Genomic DNA, 20,597 nt, shown 5'->3' with positions numbered 1-20,597 from the left:
CAGCATGTACAGAGGCCAGGAGGCAGGACAGACCAGGGAACAGTGGGGAAATGGAAGGTTTTAGGGTATATTGGATGGTATTTGTAACAGCTTTATTTCCATACTGTATAGATGCTGGCATCATTTCAAGTTTGTGTGAGGACAGCAGGAACATCTGATTTGGTATTAATTTTGCATTTTACTCTCCATATCCAAGTTCTACCAAATGTTCACAGATATACCTTCCCCATGTACAGCTTGGGTGGGAGGGACAAGTGAGAAGTGAAGCCGGCTATGCTTCTGGGTCAGGTAGGGACTTAGAGAACTTTTCGGTCTAGCTAAAGGATTGTAAACGCACCAATCAGGGCTCTGTATCTAGCTAAAGGTTTGTAAATGCACCAATCAGCTCTCTGTAAAAAAGCACCAATCAACGCTCTGTGTCTAGCTAAAGGTTTGTAAACGCACCAATCAGCACTCTGTAAAAACGCACCAATCAGCACTGTGTCTAGCTAAAAGGTTGTAAATGCACCAATCAGCACTCTGTAAAAACCGACCAATCAGCACTCTGTAAAATGGACCAATAAGCAGGACATGGGCAGGGCCAAGTAAGGGAATAAAAGCTGGCCACCCAAGCCAGCAGGGCAGTGGCGGCAACCTGCTTGGGTCCATTTCTATGCTGTGGAAGCTTTGTTCTTTCTCTGTTCTTTCTGTTTTCACAATAAATCTTGCTGCTGCTCACTCTTTGGGTCCGCACTACCTTTATGAGCTGTAACACTCACCACCAGGGTCTGCAGCTTCATTCGTGAAGTCAGCAAGACAACGAACCCACCAGGAGGAACAAACAACTCCGGATGAGCCACCTTTAAGAGCTGTAACACTCACTGCGAAGGTGTGAGGCTTCACTCCTGAAGTCAGCAAGACCATGAACCCACCAGAAGGAACAAACTCCGGACACGCCGTCCTTAAGAACTGTAACACTCACGGCGAAGGTCCGCAGCTTCAGTCTTGAAGTCAGCCAGACCAAGAACCCACCGGAAGGAACCAATTCCGGACCCACGAGGGTTTTCAGAAAACAACTAACAAACGATTTCCCTTTTGCCCTTGTACTACAAATCTCAAACTCGGTGCTATCTGAATTCTCTTTTTTCCTAAGTGCTTTGATTAGGCATGTATTCTTCTGGCACATATCCATCAAATAAATATTTTTATTTTATGGAGGATGTAGGGATTCTCCCACGTGCCAAGTCCATAGTGACTTCCAAATGGCATGCATGTCACTGACCCGTTTGCTCTCACACCCATTCTCAACCTTTCCCTCCTCTGCTCCCTACCTACATGAGGCTTCCTTGCCCTCTGGCTTCCTCGTAGATTCAGCCAATGGAAGGTGTCTCTCTAAGCCTACATTTCCTAGGGACACTATAATAATCTTGCAGTGTTATTGTAAGTATTCAATGAAAAAAAAGGCATATGTTAGATGCCTATAGCAAAAGCTATGCTTTTCACTCATTTTATGATTTCTCTTTCTTCTACTGTTATTTATAGCTGGACACGTGGCCATTCAGAGTAAAACCTACATGTTCAACCTCCCTTGCAACTACATATGAAAATATACATAAGTTCTGGGATATGAAAAAAAAAATGTGTGTGCAATTTCCAGGCCTTCCCTCTTTTCCCCTTTCTTCTTTGCTCTGGCTCACCTGTGATGTGGTGATGGGCTACCTTGGAACATGAGCAAGGACAACACCCTAGGGACAGCAGAGCAACAAGTTGGCTACGCAGTAGGCACTTAATGATTTGCACTGAAACAAGTTATCTACAGAGACGAATTTAGCTTCCTTGAAAGCTGAAAAAAGAATGTCTCTTCTGAAAGTAACAAAAAGTCACTGCCTTCTGGATGCAACCCAGAATTTGCCTTTGAAGCAGCCTATCCCTTTGTTCTCAGAGCAGTAACTTGGTTGAGCCCTTTTAATTATGTAGTAAGGAAGTTATCTTAGAATTAGCTGGGGAACATTTCAGAGAAACTAATTTCCTGCAATTAGGCCAATAGGTACTCCAGCAAATTAATTGGGATATTAAAAGAAAGTGCACTCTTATTTGCGGGACACAGACTAATAAGGCTGAAGATTTATTGGTTACACAAGTTACTTCTAATCTTTCATCATGGCCAGCCCTGGACAGAGTAGATCAGGAAACATCTTAAGCAGTAGTTGGATGGAATGCTTCTAAGACTTTCCATTTCATGGCCCTTTTATCCAAAATCCAAAACTCTTCTAGAAGGTTCCGGGCCTTCTCAAAGTCAGCCTCTCAGTCATCTCATCTCTCCCTGCCTCTCCATGGTATCAGCTGGGTGCCAAAAAGCAGACAACTGTGACTCTATCCTGCTGCTGAGGGACTTGCCAAATATCCTTGGCCAACTCAATTGTGTTGTCTGTTGTTCTTCCAAGATCTCCCTTACCTTTTTTCAGTAATTCATATTTACTCAACTCTCCAACAACTTCTCCTTCTATCTTCTTATCTTATATCCCAAACCCTTTCCTGACTGTGCTCTTAACACACACTCACCTGTCCCCATTTGCTATCAACAATGGTCACTGTAGCTCACAATCATGGTCTCCCTTTCAATACTATTTTATATTGTCCCAACAGTCATTAGACACTAGGTAAGATATTGAGTCACTACGTTTACCTGGAAATCTTCTAACCCTGTTTAATTTTTACTCCCAAAGAAACAGACCCATGTTGGGCAGGCCTTCTGCTGAATAGCTCATAGCATAGAAAGGGCAGCCAGTTACTGGCTCGTGTTTTCTTTCTGGTTCTCTCTCTTGATTGTTACAAGCAGCAATATTAGAATAAAAGGAGTCTCCACACTTACCCAAAAGCTCACAGTTGTAGGACAGGCTGGGAAGCTCCGTTTGATTCTTTCCTACCCTTCACTTCCTCTCCCACTCACCACAGCCACTACCACCACCATGGTCTTTATTATTTTGATGCAGAGAATTAAGCCCAGCTCAGGAGCTGTAAGCCTTGGGCCTTTGAGCTCTTCTGCTGGCACCAGCCCTGCAGGGTCTCTGGGGCAGTCTGTGGGATTGGGATTGGAATGGAGGGGTATTAGGGGAGTTGCTGCCAGGGGGATTCACAGAGCCCTGAGGCTCTTAACCCCACACTCTCTGTCAGTCTTCTCCACACCTTAGGCACGGAGGCTGCTCTTCTGGGGCTCCTTTTTCCTTCCAGTGCTTTCTCTGCCAGTGGTTCTGTTTGTAAGGAAATATGGGGAGGCTGGAGGGAAAGAGGCCACTAAGAGGGTTGTATTCAGGCTGCTGGGATGCATCTGTGAGGAGAGGTGTGCGATGGGAGCTGTGAGGATGTGAAAAGCCACATAACCTCTCATCATTCTAGCTGTTTCTGTAGGGGAAAGACAAAATTCACAATTCTGCCCCCATCCCCAGAGGACACTATTCCTGATGTCTTCTCCCCTCAAGTTTTTGACCGCTGCTTTCTTAAAGTGGATAATCATCACCATTGCCACCTCACTGGCAAAGCAAGGAGAAGCAAAGTGACAGCGGCCCCAAGAGGCTGGGGCACCCCACAGTTCCAGGGCTTGGCTCCAAGCACTCTACTTTCAAGGGCTCCTTCCATGCTGGCTCATTTGTATTTGGAAAATGTGGCCACATCAATCCACCACCTCTGCAAAAGAAAACACCTGTAAAAGGAGAAACCGGCTCTACATAGGACCGTGGAGGTGAGACTCAGTGTGCACAGGGCACGAACAGAAGACTCACAATCAGCAGGAAGCAGACCAGAAATAAAAATGATTTCCACCTCCCACTCACCCGAGTCAAACTTGAAAGGAGAGGGAAGTGGCCACAGCTGCGCTGGCCCTTGGCACTGGCAACTGCCTGGTTCGTTCCGAGTCCTGCCTCAGGGTTTGGCTGGTCAGGAGGTGCCCCTGCACTGCCATAAAACAACACACTCGAGTATGTTTTTAGTTACCATAATGTGTACTTTGAACCTGACTCCTCTGCTGTGGAAAAAAAGATAAAATTGGAGTACTGGAAGGGACCTTAGCGATTACTGAGCTTAACAGTTTGCATGTGCTTCAGTTCCTGCATCTGGAGTGGGGTAGAGAAGGTGAGTTGACTTTTCTAAGGCTCCACAGGAAAAAAAAAATTGGCAGCACAGGCACTAGACTCTCTTCTGACACCTGTCAGTGCTCTTTCCACGTCCTTGGAGGTTACTTAGCATCATGGCACTTTGGGAATTATAGACTCCCATATAGGTATTATAGATTGGCCAAAACAAGTCCCAATCATTTGCAGTTCCTCCCATCAATCCCATCAAGAAGAGGTCTATTTCTCTACCCTGGAAGCTGAGCTTGGCCATGTCTCTCACTTAGGCTAACAGGACATTAGCAAACGCAATACAAGAAGAGGCTTAAAGCATCCTTGCTGGAAAGCTTATGAATGAAGTGCCAAGTAACCCTAGGGCAGGGTGACAAGCTGCACCTGCTCCCTTTTAACCCTTCGATTCTAGGATTTTTCTGAATGTTCTAAAAAAACAGAAAAAAAACTACAGCTTGAAATCATATTCCTAGAAAAGAACAGCCTGAAAGTTTCTTCTTATTCCCTGCATATTCTGAAGGTATAAGGGGAAAAATGGCCATTCATTCACTTGATAAGGGTTGTGGAGCACCACACTGGGGCTAGGGTGATCAATGGAAGTCTAACTAAAGGCCTCTTGGTTTCTGAAGCATCCAGCTGGAATTATTGCAGTTTTGAGTCTGTCTTGCTTTCTCTTGCAGTACATGTTCTGGTTATCTATGGCTGAGTAACAAACCACCCCAAAATATAGAGGTTTAAAACAAAAATAATCACTTATGTTGTTCATGAATCTGCATTTAGGCTAGAACTCGGCAGAGATAGATCATCTCTGTTCCATGAAATGACAGCTGGGGAAGCTCACTGGGGCTGGAGGGTATATTTCCAAGATGGCACACACACATATCTAGCAAGCTGATGCTGGCTATTAACTGGGAGCTTAACCAGTTTGGGATCTAGGAGCTTTGGTTCTTCTCCATGGGGTACTTGGACTTCATCACAACATAGTGGATAGATTCCAAGAACAAGTATTCCAAGAGGTCTTGAACAAAGTTGACACATTTCTTATGACCTAGCCTCAGAAGTCCCAGAACTTTACTTTCACTACAATCTATTGGTCAGGCAATCAACAAAGATCAGCCCAACTCTAAAGGTAGGCAATCAGACAGGGAGTAGTAGCAATGAATCAGCACCCCACTTTATTCTACCATAGCAAGATTAAGTCCCTTAAGTTCTCACCCACAGTTTTTCCCTCATGATTCTAATCACAAGTTCTTTCATATGTGTCTGAAGAAAAACCAACCCTCTGAAGATTCCCTCCAGAAAGAAGTGTCTAGGAATTGGCCTGACAGTCTGCTGGGTGCTGGAAACTCTAGCAAAAAATAAAGCACACATTCAATTTGAGATTAAAAGGTTTTTCATATAGTAATGCAAAATTCCTTTACTAAGTATGGTAGACACTACAGTCTGATTATCCCCAATCCATTTCCCTTTTCCTCTCATCAGAGCCCCAATTTTGTTCAAAATCACTTTCTCTACAAAGCCATGTGCTTCAGAAGTTGGTGCAGCTCTAGCTCCAGGGGGTGAAATAGGATTGGTTTGTGCCAATGATGGGGGTCTTGTTACCCTTGCCGGTGAATGGATAGACATGTGACATATTCCTAGCCAATGAGATGTGGGAGCAAATCTCTTGGAATGTTTTAGGGAAGGATTTTTCACTAACAGAACAAGAAGAAACAGTTCCTCTTTGGTTGTGTCCAGATGGGATGTCCAGCACTGCCGCAAACATCCTGCAGCCATGAGAAGAGCAAACCTGAGAATGTCCATCATCTTTCTGCACAGCTCCCCACTGTGCTGCATTTTAGGTATAAAAGGTACAGACATTTGAACTGATTGGTTTTTGACTCTTCAGACAATCATGGAATCTCAGTGTAAGAAGGCAAGTTAAATGGCATCTAGAATAATCAACTTTTAGCCAAATTATAGACAGCCATGAACATCAAAAGGCTAATATACAGCAGATCCTCATTATTTCTGAAATTCATATAGTCACTAAAATTTATCTGTAATCCCAAAATAATGATTTGCCCTGCTTTTGCAGTCATTTACAAGCACGTGCAAGCACAGAGCAGGTGAAAAACCTAAGAGGCCTGATGTGCAGGTTCCCAGCTGAGGTCAAACAAGGTGGTGCTCTGCCTTCTTGTCTCAGCTCTCCGCCTTCTTGTCTCAGCTCTCCTGCTGGAAACCAGTGTCCTTTCATGGCATAGTTGGTGCCATATGGTTTGCATTTTTTGTGCCTTTTCTTGGTAACTTTGTTGCTTAAAATGCGCCCCCCCAAATGTAGTGTTGTATAACTTTCCTAAGCACAAGAAGACTCTGATATGCCTTACAGAGAAAATATCTTGTTAAATAAGCTTTGTTCTACATGAGTGGTATCCTGCTGGCCACGGGTTCAATGTTAATCAACAATATATATTAATATTGCATAAGTGTCTTTAAACAGAAACACACATAAAACAAGGCTATGCATTGATCAGTTGATGAAAGTGTTATGACCAAAGGCTCACAGGAACCTAACCCTGTATTTCTCCTAGGCTCAATGGTTTAGTATTCACTAAATCAGTGTTCACATAACTTTATACTATCTAACTACTATGAATAATGATAACTGACTATATGTTTTGCTTCCTATTATTTGCTTCTTTCTCTCACAAAAGGTGTCATGTTTGGGGCAGGGTTGAGGAAGGAAGCTATAGAAAGTGAATATCATCAATCTCAGTGACTCTCTCCCTTATGAGATCCAACCTCACGATTATGAATCCAGCCTGCCTGGAACCCATTAGTGGCCTGGCATCATGATCAGATGACCCAAGATGGTTCACCTCCACATCCCAGCAATCATTAGCAAGTCACAGCATGTGCAGCTTGCACCCTTTGCAGTCAAAAACATTAGAAGAAAGTTTTCCCAAAAGCAGAATTTTCCCACAAACCATGGATTTTCAACCCGAACCTCATTGCTCTCCCAGGTTTCCTCTCCCAGGGTGATGGTACACACCTTTATGAAGTGTTACTTTGATCTGGAGTTTCCTCTAAACCCACGTTAGAAGAATGGTCTTCCCAAACACAAGCATTTGAGCCCAGACTCAAAGTCCACTCTTCATAGTCTGGAGGACAGGTTCCTTCTAAGTCAGAGGTCCAGCACACTCTTCACAAAGAGCCTGGCTGCATGTTCCCCAATCCTTCATGTTTCATCAACTTCTTCATGTGGTGGGACCTTTTTGTTGGCCACTGCCAAAGTCAAGACCACTGACGCCTACAGCAGTCTGGCTAACACATGCCACTTTCACCACTGCCAGAACCCTGAAATCCAGGAGACCTCTGAGGCCAACTCCTCCATCCCATTGAAGGCCATGACTGAGGGAAGGGGTTATGGCTGTCTTTGTCACAAGCCAAAGTGGATGTAGACTCTCTTCAGGGCTAGTAGTCCTTATAGATTGGCTTACACTTGACCAGGAGGTAGCCCTATGTTCCTGGCTGAAGTTTGCATCTCTGAAAAACCAACTTCTCAAATAATTCATTTTCACTTAATGTGTCCCTCTTTCCTCACTCTTCAAGTTGTCCTCAACCTCTACTTTGCCACCTACAACTCAGGAAAGTTTTCAACAGCTTGCTAAATCACACAATTTCCAGTCTTAGCATTAAGGCACTCCTAGCAGCATTTGACACTGCTAATAACTCTCTACTCCTCAAAACACACTCTTCTGTCTGCTTCTGAATTTCTCCTCTCTCCCTTTCTCTGTTCCACGAAGTCCCCAGCGCCTTGGCTCGCTTACCCTCCTCAGTCCACTCCCAGATTCCTGGAGACCTGAACTGGGCCCTTTTCCTCCCTCACTCTATACGCACTCCCAAGACAGCCTTGTCCCCACATGTGTCTTCACTTACTATTTATGAACAAGCCCCAAGTTTATATGAGCAGCCCAGACTTCTTTGAGCTTTGGACTTGTATATAAATAATAGTAATAATGACTAACATTTAAATAGTACTCGCTCTGTACCAGGCACCAATCTCAGTTTTTGTGTATGCTAAACTTATGATCTCCCCATTTTACAAATGAAGAAACTGTAAGGCACAGAAAGGTTAGGTAACTTTCCCAAGGTTGCACAGATGCTGGTCACATGAGCTGCTAAGACCATGCTTTTAACCACTACACAACACTGCCTTTTGATTTATTTGCTTACTACAAGTCATTATTTGGATGTCTTATAGAAAGTAACAACTAAACATGACATTTCTCCCCAAATCCAGCCTTCCTCCAGTATTCCGTAGTTTGGAGAATGTTACCACCACCCTGACAGTCATTCTAATGCTCCCTTACTTGCATGTCTAAACAATCACCAAATCCTCCAAAATATGTCTCAAATTTGACTCTCCTCCACCCCTGTACTGTTACCACCCTCACGAAGCAACAGTAGTCTCTTGTCTGGGTTTCTGTAACAGCTTCCTAACTGGTCTTCCTGCGTGCACCCAGGCCTGCCTCTAGACATTTCTCCCATTGCAGAGTGACTTTTAAAAACTCCTATCTGGCCATGTCACATCCTACTCAGTTTCTCACTACTCAGAGAAGAAAGTCCAAAATCTTTTCCAGGCCTATGGAGCCAACTGTCCTCTCTAGGATTGGCCCTGCCCCTTGCTTCCCTAGTCTAAGGCTTCTGTGACTTCCTCACATGTGTACTTTACTCCTTCCCACAGGTTGTTCCCTGGGTCCTCCCCTTTGCTCCCCCAGTCTCCCCCCTCCCCAAGCCATACTCCATCTAATTTGCTTCAGCTAACACTTCAGAACAGCTTCTTGAGTTCAGCTTGCCTCCCCTGACTTCACGTTCCCATAGCACAGTTTCCAAGCACATGATGCTTCTCCTCTGCAGTTCTTCACATGAGTTTCAAATAATTAATTTCATCATAATCTATTTAAAATCTATCTCCCTCATTAGAATATAAGATCCATGATGGATGACAGGGACAACTTGCTGTCCTGTTTGCCACTATGTCCCCAGAACCATCAGTGTGCTCTAAGTGTTTTCTTCAATGATTGTGTGATAGTTTGGAGCCATCATGTGAGCAGCTTAAATGCCAGATGGAGAGGTTGGCACTTAGCTATTTAGAAGGCAGTGCTTTAAGCAGAAAGTAGGAGGGGTCAAGTGCCACATTAGGAAAATTAATCTGATAGTGCTATGGAGAATGAGCCACATTAGGTAGATGAGCAGTTAGTCCAGCTATGTGCGGATCAAAGCCTGGACTGGCAGAGTGGTGCTGGAAATGAACAAGGCAACAGAGTTGAGAGATACAGCAAAGTAGAAATCTGCCGGACATGGTAACTCAAGTAATTGATTAGTTGGAAACTGGTCAGTCTTATTCTGCTAGTTAGTAGGGGGCGGAGGTGGCTCCCTCTTAGATGCCTATGATTTAGTCAAATGGAAATAGAAGAGTGGATTCTGAGACTCTGATAGGAGGGAAAGATTGCAGGAAGGATGCTCAAATTCCCCCTTGCATCCTAAGACAACATAGATCAAGAAGATAATTACACTAAATATGCAGAGAAATTAAGACAGGGACAGATAACTAAAACAATTCTATATCAACACAGGACATTCACTCTTCCCTATCTAGTACCAAAAAGACTCATCTGTTGCTGCTTAAAAGCAGGTAAACCTGAATGGTAGTAATAAAAGCCTTTCTACTTTGGGCATGCTCTCTTCTCATCAACAAACAACCAATTTTTACATCTGAAACTGAAGTTTTATAAACTCGTTATCATATTTTAAAACATCTACCCCCTTTCATGAAACAAAACTTAATAAAATGGGAGAAATCCATTCCAAGTGCTCTCTGATAATAGACAGAGACAAGTGTTATCAAATAATCTGGCTGTGGTTACAAATGCACAGTATTTAAACTAATCTGAGTGCTATAGCTTAAAGGACATTATTTACTTCTAACATTAGAGAGCTTTCCATCATGCACTCATAATAAAGAAATGGAAAGTCTGAACTGCCCCACAAATGAGATGCCTCTGTACCTCTTAGGCCTTGAGAGTTTCTCCACTCCCCTCCCCAAATATACTTGGAAAATTTAAACTTTTAACTTTCAGGAGAGGCTCAGTCGTAAGTGAGGTATAAGTAAGTATATAAAATGTCAGAATGCATTTCTCAATCTTGGCCTTTTGTATTGAACTTCTAGTTCGTGGGAATAAAATGGCACTCAATACCACATTCTGCAAAAGCATTTTGGGTGCATCATGTAATTTCTCAGCCAACAAAAGCTTGTCTGAATCAAAATGCATTGGAAATTTCTTAAAAATGTAACACTCTGTGCAAATCTTCAAGTAAATGCTCAGCCCTTCCCCATTTCCCAGTGAGGCTGCAAATGGATTGAAAAGACAAATCAAAACTGTAGGCCAAGATGTGCCCTTATTAACCAATTGTAGAGCATTTATTTATCCCAGCCTCCATGTGGTGGCCAGTTTTCCGTGTTTGTGTTTGTGTCTCTCTTATCTTAAAAATCGTGATTTATCTGGACAAACTTTTAATAAGGTCAGTGGTTATGTCAACAAAAGAATGGTTATCTGGTCTTGAAATAAATAGGAAAAGCTCAAAGCAAAGTACAATTAACAACAACAAAAAATCCACTCCAATCAAGAGGAAATGTCTTGAATGAAAGCAAAAGACTTAAATTTTAAAAAAATAAACTATTTTTAAATTATACAAATGCAATTTCCCACTTCTGTTTACTTTGGCCATATGGCCATATTATTTTTCTATTTACATATATGCCAACTGGGGCTAGCTTGCTGATTTCATCACAGGAAAGAGCAATAGAGGAGTGCTAAGTTTCTCCATACCTGCCATGACAGAAAGTGCTCCCATCAATGCTCAGTGTGTTCGACTTGTGCCACTGCCAGAGATTATTATCTTACATGACTTCTTACCTTGATATAGCATTAATTTCATCCACACAAGCCTGAAATCAGTACACTGTGTCCACTTTACAGACAAAGAAACTGACTCTGAAACATTGGGTGGTCAGAAAGGTTAGGGAATCAGCCAGCAGGGGCGTGAGACGTCACATAAACTCAGGTCTTCTGACTCCACATCCATTCCCCACACATACTGCTAGGTGGCAGGCACAGATCAACATGTCTGACATTCCTGACATGCCCAGGGCTAAAGCAAAACCCTTCATAGCTATATGAGTCTGACAGCAGTATCCCTTACCCCTCTCTCAACCTAATGAGTAGAATCAAGCCTGAAATAAACAGCTCTACTCACTAACCTCTAAAGCAGACTCAAAACATTTAGGTTTTCTTCAATCAACTCTATTGACCACTGACCACAGTCACCAAGTGTTTTAATACTTGTAATAGCAAAAGAAGTGTCATTTCCCCCTCTTGACTCACCTGTCATAGGTGACCACCTTTACTACTAGCTGTGTCCAGGGCAAAAGGAATTAGTGGGTCTGGGGTCAGGCTGCCTCAGCGAGGTAACCATTCTTGGAGCTCCATGGTTTGGCAGCACTAAATTAGACCCATAAAAATCTTAGCTCCAGATTGCTAAAAAAAGAAAGGCTCTTCTCTCAATCCTCAAATGACTGGAACACATACTGTCTGCCATTTATTCATTTACTCCATTCATTCAACAAATGAGTACAAAGAACTCACAGTGTGTCAGGCACTGTGCTAGGTATCAGGGAACAATAGAGAGTTTACCTAGTGTGGAGAGGTTAGAAAACACATGCTTTGAAGTGTCTTAAGGGCAGTGGTGAGAAAGGAGAGTATCTATGGAAGACGTGCCTAACAGACTTAGGAGGAGGAGATTTCCTGAAGGAAGGCATGTCTAAGCAAAACTATTAAGGGCAAGTGGGAGTTAGTCACAGGAAGATTCTATTATGCACTAGGCATTTTCCATGTATTCTCTTGCAGTCTCTTAATCACCCTCTATGGTTGTTATGTCCATCTAATGTGGGAAAACTGAGGCTCCAAGGGATCTCATGATTCTCAAGGGCCAGGTAGTGTCAGAATTCTAATCTAGCTCTGCAAACCCAAAGCCCATGTCTCACTGCTCTTTCACTACTCTGCAAGCAAAACACCTTCTCCCCACTGATTCAATAGGAGTCCATGAATACTCCTTAGTGTCAGTCCAAGATCTCCCCTGGACTGTGCTTCCATGAGGTCAAGAGATCGAGACCATCCTGGCTAACATGGTGAAACCCCATCTCTACAAAAAATTAGCTGGGCATGGTGGCGGGCACCTGTAATCCCAGCTACTCAGGAGGCTGAGGCAGGAGAATCACTTGAACCCGGGAGGCAGAGATTGCAGTGAGCCGTGATCATGCTACTGCACTCCAGCCTGGGCAACAGAGCGAAACTCCATCTCAAAAAAAGAAAGAGAAAGAAAAAAGATGTGCAGAAAAGGTCTTGATATCAGCTGCTGTGTGGGCTGCCATCAAAGGCACCCCAACAGTGCTGCTGGGGCAGGGCAGACACACAATTTGAGGAGGGTTTTTTCAGAATATGCCCTTCCTGGACCACAGGGGAGCCTTGGGTTCTCTGGTGGGCTGAGTTAATCATAGTGATTAATCCAGGTGTGAGCATCTCCATGACTTGTCAAAGCCATGCATTCTGCTGTATCAAAAGTGATATACAGCGTGATCAGCTATCTTCTTCCTTAAACTTGAAACTCAGAGGCAGTGGAATGTTTTCACAAATCCCACCCACTGTCAATGGAAAAGGATTTGAATCCATTGGAGGTATTTAGAAGAAAGTATCACAGGCCCTGAGGGACAATGACACAGGACCCTGGGAATTACCTGGATAAAACCATAGTACAGGTTTCTACATTAGCTTCTTTGAGTGGGTAAACCACTCAGTTTGTGTGCAAGTTACAATGAATTTGTTCAATGAACAATCTCATCACCTGCCAGCTTCACCTTGACCAGATGATCTAACTTCGATGAATGAGAATCTTCCAAGACTCCAGACTTATTCTGGAAATTAGTTCTTGTTAGTAAGCTGTAGGCAGTGTAGACAATTTGCTAAAGCTAAAATTTGGCCCCTATAGCATCCCCTATAAATCCTAGATGCTGCTTGCTTTCTCTTGCTGCTTTCTGCTAATTGCAGATGTCCCAAATATATCAGTTAATTGGGGCTTCTGCTGAGTTATGTTTCAGTTAATTGAGGCATCTTTTGGGCACAGGTTAGTTTTATGTTCATTAAGACCTCCTAAGTGCAAGGTGCCATATACACCCAGCATAGGACCTCCTCTTCAAAGGCAATTTTTCACAATCACAGATGAATATTGTCATTTCTCTGGCAAGCCTTGCTCTGACCCAGGCATCAACTGTGGGAGGGAATCTTCCCTTGCAAAGTTGTCTTCACCATCAGAAAGATAGCACTGTTCTCTGATCTTCCCTCTCTCTCCATCCTCCCTGTTCCATTCTCTGCAGAGGGCTCTCACACCATCACAGCCCCCCCATGACCTCATATTGCTTCTAGCTACTTACAACCTCATTATGGGGAGAACAGGTCTCCCTGAAATGATGTCTTCCCCACAGGATTTCTCTGTCCTAAAAACTAATCCTCCATCCCACTCCTCAATCTGTTTCCCTCAAAGAGATCACCTCAGACTCTCTGAAAGTAGTTTGAATATAACATGGAAATAATTATTAAGATAACAATAGCTAATATTAGTAAAATTAATATCACTGGAGCATCAGCAGACTTAACCCCTCCAGGAGGCATTTCCATTTTAAGGACAATTTTATCACCCAAAGGAACTGCTAATTGAGCAGAGGACAATCTATCATTGCTCCTCCTTGGTGCCGTAACTGCACAAGAACTTTGACCAACAACCTACCCAGATGCCTCCAGTCCACTGCTGGCCTTTGCCTTAAAACAGATAGTAACATCCACTGGGCTCAATTTTCTCCCATGCTTAGGCAAGAATTAGTTGCATGTTCTCCTGAAACACAGAGAGGAGTGATGAAAATTTTGTCTTTCTACACCATTCATTTATCCAACCATTACTGAATATCTGCCACATCAGGCATGGTCTAAAAAGGCCTTCATGAAACTTGCGACTTCATATGCTAAAGAGACAGACATGTATACAAAAAAGGACAGTACAGCACGACAGATGCCAGCCTTATTAGAGTCACACACAGGGTCCTGTGGAGGTAGATTTGAGGAACACTAACATTCTCCCAATGACCAAGACAGGAAAGGGATTTCAAGCAGAGGGAAGAATATTGCAGAGGCCTGGAGCTGTGGGAGCTCAGTCAGAAAAGGAGCCCTAGGAACACAACCAGATGGTCTACCGGGCAAAGGTCAGCAAAGAATTAAATCAATTGCCCAGAAAACTCACAGAGCTGATAGATTGAACAAGGCACCATAGTTTAGTAAGGGGCAAAAATACCAGCCTGGGTATGTATCTTGGCTCTGCCAATATTAGCTGTGAGCTTTGGGTCAGCTACTTATATTCTCAGATTTTCAGTTTCATTATCTGTAAATGGCGAAAAAGGTATACACCTCATAAAGTTGTCTTAAATATATAATTATAGAGGTAGTATATGTGAAATATCTAGGCCAGGGAGAAACAATCTCACAGCACCCCCTAGTTTCTGATTTTCTCTCCAGTCACACCTGTCTATATGGAAAACCTAAGTAGAAATGACTGTTCCCAACAGCAGCAGAATGAAGCGATTTCCAGCATTCAGGTCTGCAGTCTCAGAGAAGCAGGGGAGAAATGAATGCCAGGCTATGTCTAATTTGACTTTGTGTCTAGAATAGGCCCCTGTGTGCCCCAAATAGATCCAAAGGCCATAGGCACATTGACTAATTTGCAACGGAACCTGGGCTTATCTCCCTTACCCACCCTTTTGCTGGTTCTTATCTTTTCTAAATTCTTTGAGCCCTTATTAGCTAACAATCTGGTTTTCTAATAATACCCTGAGGGACATCCAACTAAGGGCAAAATCTAAAGATAGATTGGGGGGTGGGGAGCAATCAGGAAGCTATGTGGGAGAAGAGGGTACCTTCGTGGGCAGGCACAAGACGAGCTTCACCCACTTCATATCCTTGTTGAGGATCAGGCCTGACTGGTATGCCAGGGTCCTCTAGACATGAAGGATAGCATGGTTCTGGTAAAGTTCCAGAACTGGAAAAGGACTTTCTAAATCATCAGGCCTACCGTCTATTCTGGAACGTAAGACCACCTAAGAACTATAGCAAAGGCAGAAACATCTGCTTAATTACTGAAGAGACCATTTCTCATGAGCCACCAAATAGATTTTTTTAAATCCCTTTACTGCCTCCCCCAACTCAAGAAACACTTGTGGGTTGACCTCAACCAGCTCTGAGTGACAAGCAGAGAAAACAAAGCAGTAAAGAGAAGGGGGAAACGTGTCCAATTAAATCAGTCAGACTTAATTGCCCATATGGAGTTAAGCTGGACGAGGGTGATATCAAAGGACAGCTGGAGGTGAGAATATCTGCATGCTTTAGGGGCTGAGTTTGGGGGCTAAGAAAACCCTGTGGCTATTTAACCCACTTCTGTTTAGTCCTCAGGCTGTGCTGATGTTAATATCAGTGTAACTTCCATCACTAGATTGCTCTCAGGGAAGACCAGAAACAAAGCAGCAACGCCTACTCGTTCATTCTGTCATTGGAAGCTTGCTGTGTACCAAGGGTGCACCCAGGCCTCTGCCAGGAAGTTGGGTGGACACATGACGTTGCCACCCCTGGTCAGAGAAGCCTTTGTAATCTGAAACACCCTCTCCAGACTGACCATGACCACGCGTGAAAGCAAGATGTATACTCTGCTTCCCTCTTTTCATGGCTCACATCAACATAGGGCTAGGCACCTTGGAGGTGCTCGATAAATCCTCACTATTTGATAATCCAGAAGACAAGTTCCCTGACCTCAGGATAGAATTTAATCCACAAAACACAACTTCTTTGGAAAGACCTGTTTTATAGAGTAGATTTCAAAAGACTAACTTTGTGCTCAGAATAAGCAAATTGACATGATAAAGGCCACATTCGGGGTGCCCCTAAAGTATGGGCACATGTGGTACAGGACATGAACGAGCTCCAAGCTTGCAATTGCTTTGTTTTAACCTTGGCAGCCCTGCAGCTTGGCTCCCACATTCAAAGGGATGATGTATTTCCCCATATTTATTATTTGCAGTAGACTACTGAGGAAAAGAGCAGAGCAGCAGGCGATGTGTCTCAGTGTGCCTGCCAGGAATAACAGAGAGGCCTTGCACCAGCGCCTCATTAGCTTATGGAAAACAGTTCCCTAAGGAAACTGCAGGGTGTAAGTAAATTTAAAACATTTCAGCCTTTTGAGGCCTGTAGATGCCAAATTTGTAAAAGAGTGGTGGCTCAAGAACGCCGTAACATTCTGTTGCACGTCTCACAAATTTAGCATAAGTTCTATAGTCTGTTTATAAGCAAAATAATGTGATATCATGAACATACTCTTTTAATGTAATATCTAATACTTTATTATTTATAAAAAGAAAAACTATTTGGTAAATTCAGTAGTTAAAAAAACAGGATAGTTCTAGAGATAGTCATGTATATACCTTCCTAATTCGGGGCCCTGTTTAAGAAATGTCATCTGTAGACGCTATACAGTGCCATAGTATATGAGCAAAGCTTGATGCATCTCCATGCATTATCCATGCCTCAAACAGGGTGTTAGAGCATTAAACATGAGAGAAGTGAATGAAGTCTAAACTTAAGCCTAACTGAACATTTCTCTACTGACGGTTAATAAGGCATGCAAAGAGAGTGGTATCATAGACTTGAAAGTCATAGACAGCATTTAATCTAAACACCTCACTTCATAGACAAGAACACAGAGACCCAGAGAAGCAAAGTGATTTACCAGAGTCACACTGCAGGTTAGTGGCAGAGCCGGGAGAACAGCATGAGAGTCTTTGTCCACTGCTCATGAGACTAATAGAATAAGGGTTGCATAGCTCTTAGCACCCTGCCTGGCACATCATGAGCACTTAGCATGTACTAACTATGACTGCCACTCTTATCATCATCATTTCTGTTACCCCAAGATGCCAAGTAATACAGCTTATTTTCATCTCTTTGCCAACAGTGATGACTTCTCTAAGAAACTCAAACTAGGGTTACTTTCGCACCTGCTATCAAAAAATGTTAAAGTGTCATTTTAACCCAGTTTCATCATCCAATTCATTAGGTGATCCTCCCTAATATTAACTCCTGAGTCCAAGAAATCCCAGAAACTCTTAGTTTCCCTTAGTAATAAAGAATGTACTATGTTCTGCTAAATCATCATAACTTTATGAGGGCAAGAACCACATCTGTTTTGCTCATCGTTGTAAGCCTCAGATCCTAGTGCATAGTAGGTGCTCAACAGACATTTGACAGGCGCGGTGCTAGATAATGAGACACAAAGGCAAATAAGGCATACCCCTCACCTTAAGAGTTTCACAGTCTCATGACGCTAACTCTTCTTGAACCTATTTCAATATAGTCCATGCCATCCCATATATTTTATATTTACCTCTTCACAATGTAATCCATATTCCTACTAACCCAAGAATAGTCTTCAAGCAAGATTTCATACAAGATATGCCTTAGATAATAGCCCTAACAATAACAATAAAGCACCCCAAATATATTAAAGAAGGGTGACTCTTAAGAGACAAATGGACACTTGGGCTATATAATAAAAGAAAGCTGTGTAGCTTATGCTAAACAATAAGTCTACATCATTTTTTCAAAGAAGCAAGTGAAATTTAACCTAAATTTAATTCCAATCAGGGAAAATGAACCACCCTCAATAATTAAGTTCTGTGAAGCTATTTGGTGTCTAGCACATCAAAAGGTGTCTAGCCCATCAGTTAGCAGAGCCAACAACTCAACACAAGTATAGGATTCAGAACATACAAACTAGTGCCAAAAACACCTGGCCACAGGCTAAGGCTAGCCCAAAAAGGGAGTAGCTGGGCAGCCTAGAGAGGTACAACCAAGGTCCCAATTCATAGAACTTTCCAGGGGGTTCTAGCAGTGCTTCTCAAACATAAATTGCATCAGAATCCCCTGGAGGGCTTGTAAAAACACAAGCAACTGGCCACACCCAGGGTTTCTGGAGTGGAGACAGAGTCTGTATTCGTAACAAATTGCCAGGTGATGCTGATATTGCTGGTTCAGGAACCCTTGGTTAGGGAAAGCACAGTACACATGTGCCCCAAGATGTCTAGACAGCAAGGAACTAGTGCCAACAGCCTGTAGTAGATGTCCTATTTTTGCTTTTTTAAAAATTTCTTGTGGCAGTCACCAATTATATCGGGTGACTCTCAAGCCAAAGGAGAACATAAAAGAATTAAGAAGCCATCTCAGTAAATGGGGCAGAATGTAGGAAATAGGCTGAGATGAAAGTCAAAAAGGGAAATAAAAAGTTTCTGTGATAGAGAAGAATCAGAACCAACTCAAGGGGGTGGTTGGAAGAACTTGACCGGGGAAAGCGGATGAGAAGAAACGGCACCGCAGAAGCCGTGTGCCGAGGAATTGGGATTCCCCAGACTGTGAACACAGATCTTGTAACAGCCCCATTTACTGAGCTCATACTACTGTTCCAGGCCCTGTCCTAGGGGCCACACATCTCTATCAAACCTCACAACATCCTCTGAGATAGTTATTATCTCTCCTTTACAGATACAGAAAGGGAAGCTGGCCAGGCACAGTGCCTCATGCCTGTAATCCCAGTGCTTTGAGAGACCAGAGTGGGAGGATCACTTGAAGACAGGAGTTCAAGACCAGACTGAGAAACATAGTGAGACCTCATCTCTACAAAAAAATTAAAAAAGAATTAGTCGGGTGTGGTGTCATGCACCTGTAGTCCCAGCCACTCCAGTGGCTGAGCCAAGAGGATCGCTTCAGCCCAGGAGGATGAGGCTGCAGTGAGCTATGATCACACCACTGTACTCCAGCCTGGATGACAGAGTGAGACCCTGCCAGAGTGGGAGGATCACTTGAAGACAGGAGTTCAAGACCAGACTGAGAAACATAGTGAGACCTCATCTCTACAAAAAGATTAAAAAAGAATTAGGCGTGGTGTCACGCACCTGTAGTCCCAGCCACTCCAGTGGCTGAGCCAAGAGGATCACTTCAGCCCAGGAGGATGAGGCTGCAGTGAGCTATGATCACACCACTGTACTCCAGCCTGGATGACAGAGTGAGACCCTGCCCCCCAATCCCCCCCCCAAAAAAAAAAACATAAGAAATGAAGGTTCAAAGAGATGAAATAATGACACAAAGGTAGCAAGTAAGTGGTAGATTCAGGATTCAAACTTGTGTCTGATTCCCAGGCTTGACTCTTAACATCTAGGTAGTCTGCCTCCCCATCCCTCCTCTCCAAAGATGAAACCTACAGGGGAAGGTACTGGGGGAACCACAAGTAATACATATGGCTGTAAAGAAGAAGGGCAGGCCAAGCATGGTGGCTCACATCTGTAATCTCAGCATTTTGGAAGGCCGAGGCGGGAGGGTCGTTTGAGCCCAGGAGTTTGAGACCAGCCTGGGCAACACAGTGAGATCCCCCTTCTCCACCAAAAAAAAAAAAAAAAATTAGCCAGGCATGGTGGCACATGCCTATAGTCCCAGCTACTCTGGAGGCTGAGGCAAGAGGATCACTTGAGACCAGGAATCCAAGGCTGCAGTGAGCTATGATGGCACCACTGCACTCCAGCCTAGGCAACAAAGTGAGACCATGTCTAAAAAAAAAAAAAAAGATAGAAAAAGAAGTAGGGCAAACAGTGGGTGTCCTATGCTGACGCAAGCTTTGGCTTTGGAACTGGATAGGTCCGCATTCAAATCCCCACTTCAGGGGATGTAGTTTTGGGCAAATCACTTAATTGGACCCCAGTGTCCTTATCTGTCTAATGGGGATATTAATATCTACCCTCTGATGTTACTAGAATGAGTGTAGGCCATTTTTACATTGAACTGTAGACACCTACTACATTTTTTTCAGTACATTTCCTAGCAAATAGATATTCAAAACTGAAGGTCATCGTGGTGATGATGGCAAAGGCAAGACTGAGATCCTAGCAGTGGAGGTGCTAGGAAAACATTTGACAGCTTTAAATAAGTTTCAAGTCTCCAGGTTTGAATCAAGCCTATACTCAATACGAAGAGAACCTGCCACTGTCAATTCCCAATGTGGAATGTGAGAAATGGAGACAGAGACGAAGACTGGAAATGAACAACTTCTTATCCTATTTTCAAAAATATCATGTATATTCCAGAAATTGCAGACTTTCAAGCTTATAGTTGAACTTGTATTTATGCAGCAGTCAGGTATCACAATGGAACATTTATTAATAATTTAGAGATGGCCGGGCACGGCGGCTCACGCCTGTAATCCCAGCACTTTGGGAGGCTGAGGCAGGCAGATTATGAGGTCAGGAGTTCAAGACCAGCCTGGCCA

At 43.3% G+C, this 20,597-nt stretch overlaps 1 long non-coding RNA gene across 9 annotated transcripts in view, besides 1 other annotated feature; it reads right to left on the bottom strand.

Moving 5' to 3' along the window:
• CFAP418-AS1 (CFAP418 antisense RNA 1) overlaps positions 1-20,597 on the bottom strand; it is a 541,308-nt gene that overhangs the window by 412,160 nt on the left and 108,551 nt on the right. The gene's annotated exons all lie outside the window — the stretch shown is intronic.
• Positions 10,954-11,531: an enhancer, noted in NCBI's record as "NANOG hESC enhancer chr8:96398681-96399258 (GRCh37/hg19 assembly coordinates)". NCBI's record gives its function as "activates a minimal SCP1, AML or CMV promoter by ChIP-STARR-seq in naive H9 embryonic stem cells {active_cell/tissue: H9 hESC(naive)}" and the evidence as "EXISTENCE:reporter gene assay evidence [ECO:0000049][PMID:30033119]".

The sequence above is a fragment of the Homo sapiens genome, chromosome 8 (genome assembly GCF_000001405.40).
Source record: "Homo sapiens chromosome 8, GRCh38.p14 Primary Assembly".
Taxonomy (NCBI): Eukaryota; Metazoa; Chordata; class Mammalia; order Primates; family Hominidae; genus Homo; species Homo sapiens.
This window is presented reverse-complemented; position numbering and strand designations above follow the sequence as displayed.